The sequence below is a fragment of the Homo sapiens genome, chromosome 10 (genome assembly GCF_000001405.40).
Source record: "Homo sapiens chromosome 10, GRCh38.p14 Primary Assembly".
Classification (NCBI taxonomy): Eukaryota; Metazoa; Chordata; class Mammalia; order Primates; family Hominidae; genus Homo; species Homo sapiens.
Window position 1 is genome coordinate 48,678,335 of NC_000010.11, and position 12,171 is coordinate 48,690,505.

At 42.5% G+C, this 12,171-nt stretch overlaps 1 protein-coding gene across 12 annotated transcripts in view, besides 5 other annotated features; it reads left to right on the top strand.

The window, feature by feature from the left end:
- Window positions 1,346-1,610: a silencer, noted in NCBI's record as "fragment chr10:49887725-49887989 (GRCh37/hg19 assembly coordinates)". NCBI's record gives its function as "represses an EF-1alpha promoter that drives an FKBP-Casp9 reporter gene in an ReSE screen in phorbol 12-myristate 13-acetate-treated (for megakaryocytic differentiation) K562 erythroleukemia cells {active_cell/tissue: K562(+PMA)}" and the evidence as "EXISTENCE:reporter gene assay evidence [ECO:0000049][PMID:32094911]".
- Window positions 5,461-5,540: an enhancer, noted in NCBI's record as "active region_3337". NCBI's record gives its function as "activates an Ori minimal core promoter by ATAC-STARR-seq in GM12878 lymphoblastoid cells {active_cell/tissue: GM12878}" and the evidence as "EXISTENCE:reporter gene assay evidence [ECO:0000049][PMID:35858748]".
- Window positions 5,761-5,810: a silencer, noted in NCBI's record as "silent region_2360". NCBI's record gives its function as "represses an Ori minimal core promoter by ATAC-STARR-seq in GM12878 lymphoblastoid cells {active_cell/tissue: GM12878}" and the evidence as "EXISTENCE:reporter gene assay evidence [ECO:0000049][PMID:35858748]".
- Window positions 6,471-6,770: an enhancer, noted in NCBI's record as "active region_3338". NCBI's record gives its function as "activates an Ori minimal core promoter by ATAC-STARR-seq in GM12878 lymphoblastoid cells {active_cell/tissue: GM12878}" and the evidence as "EXISTENCE:reporter gene assay evidence [ECO:0000049][PMID:35858748]".
- WDFY4 (WDFY family member 4) overlaps window positions 6,539-12,171 on the top strand; it is a 298,084-nt gene continuing 292,451 nt past the window's right edge. For 6 of the 12 annotated variants that reach the window (XM_017016463.2, XM_011539986.4, XM_011539987.3 and 3 more), the window contains exon 1: window positions 6,880-6,968. The gene's annotated coding sequence lies outside the window, so the exon portion shown is untranslated. Of the gene's footprint in view, window positions 6,668-6,879; window positions 6,969-7,128; window positions 7,199-12,171 lie in introns of those variants that run through there. The other 6 variants (XM_011539988.3, NM_001394531.1, NM_001370153.1 and 3 more) reach the window with 2 other exon arrangements.
- Window positions 6,789-7,329: an enhancer, noted in NCBI's record as "H3K4me1 hESC enhancer chr10:49893168-49893708 (GRCh37/hg19 assembly coordinates)". NCBI's record gives its function as "activates a minimal SCP1, AML or CMV promoter by ChIP-STARR-seq in primed H9 embryonic stem cells {active_cell/tissue: H9 hESC(primed)}" and the evidence as "EXISTENCE:reporter gene assay evidence [ECO:0000049][PMID:30033119]".

The following is a 12,171-nucleotide window of genomic DNA, read 5'->3' on the forward strand; positions in this document are numbered from 1 at the left end:
GCACCAGGCATATGGTAGTGTGGAGATGGTAGAGGAATACATGGATACATAAATCATGAGAGGCCTTATCCAGCACCTTATTGGAGCTCATACCCAAAGTGATGCCAGCACTCTTGATCTCACACACCAAAGATAAATGTGCTTAGCCTCAAGGACTTGTTCTTAGCTTGAAAGCTCCTTGGGGAAAGCATTCTTATTTATTATTTGTGCCTCCAAAACACACCTTAGGACTTGGTCCTGGAAAATCCTAGTGCCAACTGAAATGGGTTGAATGGCCTGTGTTCACCTGGTGATGGCTCATGGTTCTTCATCTTCTCAGTGGGCTCCTTTTGAGTTTTATGTTAACTCTACCAATATGGAGTTGGATCTTCAGGCCAGCTTTGAAAATTATGACAGAATTCGCTCATTTGTAGTTTTCCAATCCTCCCTCCTTCCTCCAAGTCTCATGGGATGTCAACAGTGGTATTGATCATTTCTTCTGCAGGCTCCAGGTGTCCTGTGGGTTTATCTTCCATTTGCACCAGTACTCACATCTCCCTGAAAGTACAATCTGATGGTGGGATCCTCTCTCTTTTTCTGGAGTTAATTACTATCCCCTTGGGGAATATGGAAATGCAACCAGCACACAGGAAGCTGCTTTCTCTCCAGGTTTGTTAAACATGTCCTGTTGCTGTGTAAATAGTTTTCTTTTTTTCTCCCAAGATGGTATAGAAAATACATTGTAATAATGAAGTAGGGAAGTGCTTGCAATGAATTAAGTGAAAGAAAAACCCAACCAATTATGAAGGGGAATATATGGCATGATTCCCATTTGTTAAGAACAAAAAATAAGACCAAAGAAATATACTTTGGTAAACATGGAAAAAAAGACTGAAATGCTATTGCTCAGCATAGGGTATTAGTGAGTTTTATTTTATTCCTTCTTCTTTTTATTTTTACATACTATTTAGAATTAACATGCTTCATTTTAAAAGTCAGAAAAATATTTATTTTTAAAAGTATTAACTTTTTAGTATATGGCCCTGATAAGTGATGGTAAGTGCTCTGAAGAGATCATAGTGGAGACCGACAGCCTACCAAAATGCATTCTCTCTAATAACAGGATCGAGGCTGGCCCATGGCTGGTCTACACTTCCCAGTCTTCCTTGCAGCTCGATATGGCCATGTGGTTACAATAGCATGTGAGCCAAAGCGATGTAGACCACTCAGAGGCTGGGCCTTTATGGGCAGAGGTATGTCTTGTCTTGTCCACTCCCTTTCCTTTTTTACAGGCTGGATGCAGACGACAAGGCTATATGGGACAATGGAGCAATATTCCTAAATTGCTATATGGGGGAGAACCACCTGCCAACTTGAACAACTGGTGTAGACTGCTCTGCAGCAAGGAAGTAAACTCCATAGCAGCTCTGCTCTGTTCATCATTGTTTCTTCAGGGCCTACCTGGGACCTGGCACAGAGGAGATGCTCTGTGTGTGTTTGTTGATTGGAACTAAACTTTTACTTTTCTGACATCTTTGTCACAAAGCCATGAAGAAATTACATATCCTTATGACAATTTACTTAGAGTAAATAAAATACTATTTTTGTGTAAAATGTGAGATTGCAACAATATGCTTCCATTGATTTCTCAGTCTTTGGTGCTGTAGTTGTGAAATACATTCTATCCACGTATGCTATCAACTCCAAAGTACAGCACTGCAATTTTCACTTTAAGCAGTCATAGTCTTTTAAAGAAGTTAAAATAATGAAAAGTACATGGTTTGTTTTTATTTACTCACACATTTGCTATTAATAGTGCTTTTCTTTTTTTCCTATAGATCCAAGTTTCCATCTGGCATCTTTTCCCTTCAGCTTCAAAAACTGCCTTTAGAATTTCTTATATTGCAAGGATGCTGGAGATGAATGATCTCAGCTTTTATTCACCTGAAATGAATGTATTTTATTCTCATTTTTACAGAGACATTCATTGGCTATTGAATTATTGGTTAACAATTTTTGTTGTTTTCCTTTAGCATATTAAAGATGTCTTTCTATTCTCTTATGGCATTCACTGCTTCTGATAAAACATCAGCCTTAAATAGTATTTTTGTTTCTCTTTGGGTAATATTTTTTTCTTTCTGACTGCTTTCTTGCTCTCTGACTGTTTTAAGATAATACATTTGTTTCTGATGTTTGACTATGATGTGCTAAGTGTGTTTTTTCTTTGCACTTGGTGATGCTTGAGTTTTACTAAATTTATCATGTCTGCAATTTGCCGTTTTTCAATAAACCTGGGAAATTTCAAACATCATTTCTGCAAATGTGCTTTTCTGCCCTCCTCTCTCTCTGAGACCCCATTTACACATATATTATACCATTTCATATTGTCCCAAGAGCAGCTGAGTTTGTTTTTTTTCATCAATATTTTCCCCCTCTGTCCTTCAAATTGTATAATTTTTATTAATAAGTCTTTAAGTTCATTAACCCTTTTTTTCCTGTGGCCACCAATTTGCTGTTGGTCTATCAGTAAAATTTTTACTTCAGATATACTTTTCAGTTCTAGAATTTACATTTGAATCTTCTTGTATTTTCGATTTTTTTTTTTTTTGCTGAAATTTGCCTGCTTTTTTTTTAAGTTCCTGAATATATTTCTGATAGCTGCTTTAAAGTTCCTGTGAAATAATTCCAACATCTGGTTCATCTTGGGGTCTATTTCTATTGACAGTTTTTTATTTCTTGTTATGGGTTACATTCTTTTGCTTTTTCAGATTTCTACTAATTTTAACTCTATGCTAGATAGCATGGATGTTAAATTGAAAGGAGGCTGCATTAAGTTTTCTTCCTTTAAAGCATCTTGAGTTTTGTTCTGGTTGGCAGTTAAATTCCTTGGCTGCAGTGGCTCACACCTGTAATCTCAGCACTTTGGGAGGCTGAGGTGATGGGATCGCTTGAGCTCATTAGTTTGAGACCAGCCTGGCCAACACGGTGAAACAGTGTCTCTATTAAAAGCACAAAAAATCAGCTGGGCATGGTGGCACGTGTTTATAATCCCAGCTACTTGGGAGGCTGAGGCATGAGAATTGCTTGAAGCCAGGAGGTGGAGGTTGCAGTGAGCCGAGATCACCCCACTGCCCTCCAGCCTGGAGGACAGAGCCAGACCGTCTCAAAAAAAATTACTGGAATATCCTTTTAATTCTGTCAGTCTTGCTTCTTTTATTCTTTGTTTGGTTGTATTAGGGTCCTCCAGAGAGACAGAACCAATTGGATATACATATATATATATATATATATATATGTATATGTGTGTATATATCTATATATATACATGCCTGCTCTTGTTTGTTTATTTCTTTATGTATTACAAGGAATTGGCTCATATGATTATAGAGGATGAGAAGTCTTAAGATCTTCAGTCAACAAACTGGAGACCCAGAAGAGCCAATGGTGTAAGGTCCAGTCTGAGTTCAAAGGCCTGAGAATCAGAAGAGCCAGTGTTGTAAGTGTTCCAGTCCAAGGGCAGGAGATGACTGATGTTCCATCTCAAGGAGTCAAGCAGCCAAAGTGTCCTCTTACTCAGCCTTCTGTTCTATTCAGGTCTTCAACCGATTGGAAACCACCCATGCATATTAGGGAGAACAGTCTGCTTGACTCAGCCTACTGATTCGAATGTTCATCTCATCCAAAAATACCCTCACAGACATGCCCAGAATAATGTCTCGCCAAATGTTTGGGCACCTCATGGCCCAGTCAAGTTAACTCATAAAAGTAACTTATCACATGGAGCTATTTTATTTCAATTTTGAACTTGTTCCAACTTTATGGCTTTTATTCTAGGCTGTGGTTCTTACTTCTTCAGTGTGGAGTCTGAGCTTCAGAGTTTTATGGTTTTAAATTTCCTCTCATCATTACCTTCATGTTTAGCCTGCAGGAGGACTCCTCTGATTGGTGTTTCAAGTTTGGTCTGCGGATTGGGGAGGAAGGAATACAAGAGGGCAGCTCTGAGCTTGGTGGGGTGAGGGCTCTGAGGTGTAAAGTGAAGTCCCACAATGCTCAGCAAGGTCTCTCCACACTCCATGGGATGCGACTGCAACATTCCAAGCACTGCACATTCTCTGTTACCTCCTTCAGTGCTCGGCCTTGGGTCAGTTGACCTCTGCTGGGTCTCTTGGAGTCTCACCCTGTGCACACATAGGAATCCTTGGCCAAGGGCACACACAATGAGTTCCCACAAGGCACACTCTCCTCAGGAACCTGCCCTGAACATACCAGAGCCTTCAGCAGCTTTGAACTCTGACTTAAACCTTTTCAGTTCAGGGAGACTACTGTCTCTGGGGCCCCACCTGCCTGCATCATAGCAGAAAAAGCATCACTAGAAAAAACTCCAGGGCAATTGTGGGGCTCACCTTGTGTGTTTTCCTTATCTCAAGGATCACAGTCTTGCTATTCAATGCCTGAAAACAATTATCTTGTGTATTTGAACTATTCTATAGTTGCTTTCAATGGGAGGGTATGTCCTATACCAGTTACACCACCATAACTGGGTGCAGAAGTAAAACTGCCATTTTGGGGCAATTGTTTAAAAATCAGAGAATCTTACATTGCCCTTTAACAAAAATACACATTTACATTAGCAGTTCATAGTTGCCCTGGCTGCTTCAGTGTCTTAGCTTTGGCAACTCTCTCACTAATAATAGCTTGCATTTGCACAGCCCTTTTCAGTATTTAAAAACTCTCTTGGCCGGGTGCGCTGGCTTACGCCTGTAATCCCAGCACTCTGGGAGGCCGAGATGGGCGGATCACGAGGTCGGGAGATCGAGACCATCCTGTCTAACACGGTGAAACCCCGTCTCTACTAAAAATACAAAAAATTAGCCAGGCGAGGTGGTGGGCGCCTGTAGTCCCAGCTACTCAGGAGGCTGAGGCAGGAGAATGGCGTGAACCCCGGGGGGCGGAGCCTGCAGTGAGCCGAGATCGCGTCACTGCACTCCAGCCTGGGCGACAGCGAGACTCCGTCTCAAAAAAAAAAAACCTCTCTTGCAAATATTATTTGATTTGTTCCTTCTAACAAGGCATTCATTCATTCTGCAAATAAGATGTCAATTATCTCAGTTAAGATAGTGAGAATTTCAACCTTGAGTTTCTAGCTCTGAATTTAGTGCTCTTTACCTGCCTGCTGCTGGCTACCCGGCAAGGTGCTGGGGTGGGTAGAAGGTAGGAGACCTGGGTGCAGGTGGGCCCTCCAGCAGACTTTGCGAGATCCCACTATGACAGACTCTCCGCGCTTCCTCTGGGCATTCACAGGCATGGGGTCCTGGCCTGTCCCATGCTGGCCACCCTTCCTGCCTCTGTGGAAGTTCCTCTGTCTAATCCGCTCTTACCATAGGCCTCTGATTTCAGGCAATATCTTCTTGTAGATTTTATTTATGATTTCATTGGTGACAATGACGAGGGGTTTTCATCATATACAACAAACACTTCACTGCAAATTCTCTAAGGTTTTCTCTTTCCCTTGGCTGGCACTGCATGTATCCTTTCAATTTCTCTTTTCTTTTCTTTTTTTTCTTTTTTTTTTTTTTGAGACGGAGCTTCGCTCTTGCTGTCCAGACTGGAGTGCAGCTGGATAGATCTCCTATTTTGGCTGCTGTCTACTGACAAGTTTGCACTGGTGGAGGTTGAGGTTTTGTGACAAATGTTATTTTCCTCTTTAAACCAATCTTGGAGCTTTACTCCATGTCATAACAAGTGATGTTGTTGCTGCCTCTCAGTCAGTCATGCATGGTCCACTGGTTTTGTGAGCTAGAGACAAGCGATGAGCTGCACTGAGGATCAAGGATCAGGCATTAGCGCTAACAAGTGCCCTTGCTCTTTGGCAAAATTCTCCTTTTACAGAGCACAAGCAGGATTGTGTGTGAATGGACATGCTTGTTTGTACTGTGGAGATGACGTTATGGATAGGTGACATGGATAATTCAGCCTAGTTTATATACTCAGAGGAATGAGAATTTGGAGTCTGAGTTTCAGAGACTTCCATTCTATGGTTTTAGATGTCCTCTCATCCTTGCCTCAGTGTTGGCCGCAGGAGGACTCCCCTCATTGGTGGTTCAAGTTCTATCTGAGGATGGGGGAGGAAGAAATCCAAGTGGGCAACTCTGAGCTTGGTGGGGTGAGGGCTGCCCAACCCATGCCATGTCCAGGGGTGCACTTAAACACACCTCTGATTAGATTCACCTAACACCATCATTGTTCTCATTTTGCCAGAGGCCCAGAGAGGAGAGGTGTGCACCAGTGGTCACACGGCTAGTGAAGAGGGGACACAGAATCCAGACCTACTCTTCTAGGGCTGGGCTGTACTTTCCATTTTGTCCTTGGCCCCAACCAGCACCGCTTGACCACGGAGGCTGCACAGCCAGCCCCAAGGGGCCTTGCTGCAGAACCCAAGTCACCCGCCAGAACTCCAGCAGCTCCGTGGTCGGCTGGAGAGTGGGCAGAGTCAGGCATCTGCCGGCTCTCCACTTCTGCTTTCTCCAGGAAATGAGCAGAGACCCAGCTCCAGTGATTCAGAGTGAAACGGCGCTGAGGACTGACGATGTGGGGCCGGGTCCTCTTCCCCCGAGCCTGAGGGGCTGCAGCTGGGGATAGGGGGCCCATGCCTTCTGATGTCTACAGGCGCTGACGGCCACCCCTCCAGGTAGGCCACCTTGCTCTTGGCCCAGCCAGGCCAGCCTAGAGGTGGGCATATGGGCGCCGCCTGTCAGCGTGGGGCCTACTGGCTGCCTCCTGGGAGGCTGACTATGGGGCACATGTGACCCAGTGCCTGGTTTGGGTTTGTGAATGTGGGAGAGGAGGTGAGCTGGGGAGCAGGAAGTGTGTGTGGCGTGGGGGGCCCATGTGGTCAGGGCCACTCCAGGGCCTGGGTCTGCCTGAGTGTGTGTCACTGCTGAAGTTTGGGAGTCAGGCTGGGCTCCAGCAGCACTCCTCGACCTCTGACGGTAGGTCAAGTCCTTTCTCGGGGTCCTGCTATGAAGGGAACCCTGGGAAGGGCTGACACGGGCTTTCCTGGTTGTCGAGGGGGCGGAGAGAGCAGGCCGACAGGACAGTGAGGCTCGCCCTCCAAGCTCCCTCATAGGCCTCTGAGGAGTGCAGAGTTGGAGGGCCATTTCCAACGGGCCTCAGAGGGAGCTGGTCTATCCCGGCCCTGTCATTACTCCACTGGGTTCTGGTAAGTAGGTGCCTCCCTGGGCTCACTTCCCTCATCTGAATTATTACAGCAAACCATTGAAACGCCTGCATTTTCTGCCTAAGCAGGGCCACCTGCTCAGTAAGGACTGATTCTTCTTTTCCCCTGAAATGAAACTTCTAGAACACTAAACCGATCCTTTGTCCCAACTCATCTAAAGTGTGGGGGGGCTGGTTTGATAACTAAGGGCTCTATGCATTACCCTTTCCATGGAGCACACTAATTTTAATATGAGTTTATGTATAGTCATTCATTTAGTTATTTAACAAATAGGTATTGAGAAACCACGCCCTGCCAGGCTCTGGTCAAAGCGGACAGGGGTCTACGGTGCTCAGCAGGTGGGAGAATAGCAGGTAGGGTGGGGGTCTTGGGAGGGTGGGGATGGCTCTAGTCTTCTGAGAGGGGACCTGTGAGGGAGGCCGAGTCCTGTGGGTTTCTGAGAAGTGTTCTTGATAAGGGTCTGGAGGAGGAGACCTCGTGGAGGTTGGTGTGGCAGAGCCGGGTAAGGGGCATGCCTGGGGTTCTGGCCAGAGAGGTAGGGAACAGGGTCAGGTCAGGGAGGCCCTTCCTGTCTGTCCATCCTGAGCACATGGGCTATTCTTTCATGAACTTGGAAAGATTTTCTGTGTTGAAAGAAAAGAAAATTTCGGCCAGGCGCAGTGGTTCACGCCTGTAATCTCAGCACTTTGGGAGGCTGAGAGGGGCAGATCACCTGAGGTCAGGAGTTCAAGACCAGTCTGGACAACACGATGAAACTCCATCTCCAAAAAAAAAAAAAAAAAAGAAGGAAAGAAAAGAAAATTTAGAAAGACCATAATAAGATAGAAGTAATAAAAACAGCATAAACCCTGTGTGCTGACACCTTAGATTTTTTTAAAGATCAGCATCATCTCTGAGGTCCTCTTCATGCCCATCTTTCACCTTCCCTCTTCAGAAGCAGCAACAGTCCAGAATTTTGGGTTTATTGTTCCCTTGCTTCTTTTTCTAATTTTACATCCCATATTTAAATCGCTATATATGTATGATTGCAAGTTGTTGAACTCTGTAAACATGGAATTAAATATTCTTTTAAAATTTGCCTAATTGGTTCAAAAGTTTGTTTCTGAAATTTCTTCATATTGTTGCATGTACCTGTAGATAATTAAAGTTTTCTGCAGTACAGTATTCTATTAGATGAGTGTACCTCAATATATTTATCTGAGATGCTGTTGATGGCATTTTAGGTATTTCAAGAGTTTATTTTTTTTTCTATTATAAGCAGTGCCGCTAGAACTATTTTTGTACATGCATCTTGGGGCATGTGTGCAAGAATTTATCTTGGGTATATACTCTAGAAATAGAATTGGTGGGTCATAGGTTGTACATATCGTCAGCCTTACTGGATGTCACCACGTTGTTTTCCAAAGTTTTTGCCTCATTTTACCCACCCCTCAGCAATGCACCAAAGTTTCTGTTGCTCCACTTCTTCATCAGCATTTGATATTGTCTGGTACTGTATTTCTGCCAATCTGGTAGAAATGAAAAGCTATCTTAGCATGTTTTTAATTTGCATTGACCAAATTACTAAGGTTGGACATCTTTTTCATATGTTTATTGGCCATTTGGGGTCCCTTTTCCTGTTCACATTTTTTGGCCATTTCTCATCGGGTTACCTGTCTTTTATCCTATTGATTTGCCATAATTCAATACATATTCTGGGTACTACTTTTTGTCATTTATATATATAACAAATATTTTTCATTTGTTGGTGCCTTGTCTCCTTATATTCCTGTGGTTTTTATTAATGACTGAATTTCTTAGTTTCAAATAAGTTTATCCACCTGTCGCTTTATGATTTATACTTGTTATGTGTTATCTAAGAAATTCTCCACTATAAGGTTGTAAAATTATTCTCATATTATTTTCAAAAAATGTTATAATATTACTTTTTACACTGAAGTCTCTAGTCTGCCTGGAAATGGCTTTTGTGTATGGCGTGAGGTGGGAAGAAACTTTATTTTATTCTGCTTTTCCCATATGGATAACCAAGAGTCTTGGCACCATTTATTTAATAGGCCATTCTTTTTTTTTTTTTTTTTTTTTGAGATGGAGTCTTGCTCTGTCACCCAGGCTGGAGTGCAATGGCATGATCTTGGCTCACTGCAACCTCCACCTCCCAGGTTCAAGCAATTATCCTGCCTCAGCCTCCCTAGTAGCTGAGATTACAGGTACATGCCACCACACCTGGCTAATTTTTTTTTTTTTTTTTTGAGACAGATTCTTGTTCTGTCACCCAGGCTGGAGTGCGGTGGTGCGATCTCAGCTCACTGCAACCTCCACCTCCCAGGTTCAAGCGATTCCTCTGCCTCAGCCTCTCCAGTAGCTGGGACTACTGGCGTGCGCCACCACATCTGTCTAATTTTTGGGTTTTTTAGTAGGGATGGGGTTTCACTGTGTTGGTCAGGCTGGTCTTGAACTCCTGACCTCAGGTGATCCACCCACCTCGGCCTCCCAAAGTGCTGGGATTACAGGCATGAGCCACCACACCCGGCCTAATAGGCCATTCTTTAGTCACTGATCCATGATAGCTCTGTTGTGAGTTGAGTTGTCATGTGCATGGGGGTCTTTCCTGGTTCTCTATTCTGTCAATTTGTCTAACCCTTTGACAATGCTAGACAACATTGTTAACCACAGGTTTATAATAAATTTCGGTATCTGGAAAGAGCCTCCCCATTCTTTTCTTCTTCCATCCTGTCTTGAGAATTCTTGGTATTTTACTCATTCATATAAATTTCAGAATTGGCTTTCAACAGAAAAAAAAACTATGTTCAGATTTGACTGGAAATATAATTTGGAAAGAAGTGATATCTTTATGAAAATGACTTTTCCAATTCATAAACGTGGTCTGTCTCTCCACTTATTTAGGTCTTCTCTAAAGTATTTAAATACAATGTTACTATTTTCTTTATAGCAGTAGTGCATATTTTGACTAGACATATCCCTAAGTGGTTTATATTTTTATATTGTGTCAATTGTCATTAAAATACATTTTTGGACTGTTGCTATTTGGACTGATTCTTGTTCAAAATGCAAGCATTTTAAACAAGAATCATTTTAGGTGTCATGTGAAGATTGTAGGAGACCAAAGGAAGAAGCAAGACTATCAGTTCAGAGGCTTTTGCAATAACCCAGGCTAGAGGTGGTGGTGGCTTGCCCCAAAGTGATAATAGTTGAGATAATGACAGGTGGTCAGAGTGGTCAGATTCTAGATACTTTTTTGAGGGTAGGATTTGATGACATTTTAGGTATAGAGCATGGGAGAAAGAGAGAAGCTAAAGATGACTCCAGAGTAACAGGAAGAATGAGATTATCACCTACTGAGCTGGCTTGAGGGCAGTAGAAGCAGATTTGGAAGGTGGAAGTAGAAGCAGAAATATGAGTTTGGTCATACAAAGATGGAGATGCTTGTTAGACAATATGTGAAGAAATGAAGGCTTGGCCCCCTCCACCCCCACCCCAGTGAACTTCATGGTAGACAAGCAAGGCAGCTTGGCCAACTGGCAGAAAGAAGGAATATATCTTGTGTAGGAGGGTAAGGAAAATGAACTTCTCAGAGTTCCTAAAGCCACACCTTAGAGCTGCTACCCGTTTTATTTACAATTAGGGGCTTGCATTTGTAATCTCCCTCCAAGTGCTATAAACCATCAAAATGCAGATAGATGATATCTCCTAAACCCTTGGCTGCCAGTCCCCTTTGAGGTATCTGCACTCCTTAAAAACTTAAATATCAAAGTCTAGACCTTTGTTATCCAATACAGAAGCCACTAGCCATACTTGAAATGTAGCCGATGTGAATTGAGATGCACTGTAAGTGTGAAATACACACCAGATTTTAAAGATGTTACAAACTAACAACAAAAAATTATAAAATACCTCAGTACCTGAAAATATTGATTACATAGTGAAAATATTTTGGATATATTGGGTTAAGTGAAATATACTTTAAACATTAATTTAACCTATTTATTTTTATTTTTAAAATGTGTCTACCAGAAAATTTGAAATTACACATGTGGCTGGAAGTTGTGCCTGGCTTTCTATTTCTAATATTTCTATTGGACAGCAGCCTTTAGAGGAATGATACTTCTTGTTTTATGGCCAGAGGCTTTCATGGGAATAGAGTTTGAGATGGATGAGAGGTAGGAGAAGTGAAAAGCCACTTGAACCAAATAATTCCAAGGAGAAAGAAAATATACAAGCTAATAATAATGGGTTTAGTACCTAAATAAACCAGGGACTTGTACTTGCAAGCTCACTTAATCCTCAAGATGAGATAAGTTTCATTATTCCCATTTTACAGATGAGAAAATGGAGACTCAGAGATGTAAGGTTCTTTGCCCTTGAAGAGTGAGTGACTGAGCTGGGATTTGATCCTAGTTCCACCTGATTTTAAAGCCTGTGCACTTGCATTAGACCACACTACCACTAAAGGGCTGAAGAAGCTACACTTCTAGAAAGGAATAGTGAATATTTGGCAGGAGTATGACAGTGGTTCTTCCCTTTTGGCTGAATGATTAATTCTTCTTTTGAGAATTCATAGGAAACAAAATCATTGCAGCAGGGATCCTTCCCCTCAGCATTGCCCATGACAGCAGTGGAGACAATCTGAGCATCCAGTTATTACAGAGTGAGAGTCAATTATGGGTGATCCATCAGGAGGATGCTCCATGGTCACTAGGTCTGATACTTTAAGGAAAAGGGCAATGTAGAACATGTTTATGATATGATGGATGATTAATGCAATCAAATCATTTTCACATTAATTACAAGCAAAATATACTTGTGATATGGGATGTTTGGGGTGTTGCTTTTTCTGGCCAGAAACCTCTGTGGCCAGTGGCACCTTTGCCTGAGTTCTTGTCCTGCATCCAGTAAGAATGAGGGATGCAGTCATGTGGAGGGTGAGCAAGATGAAG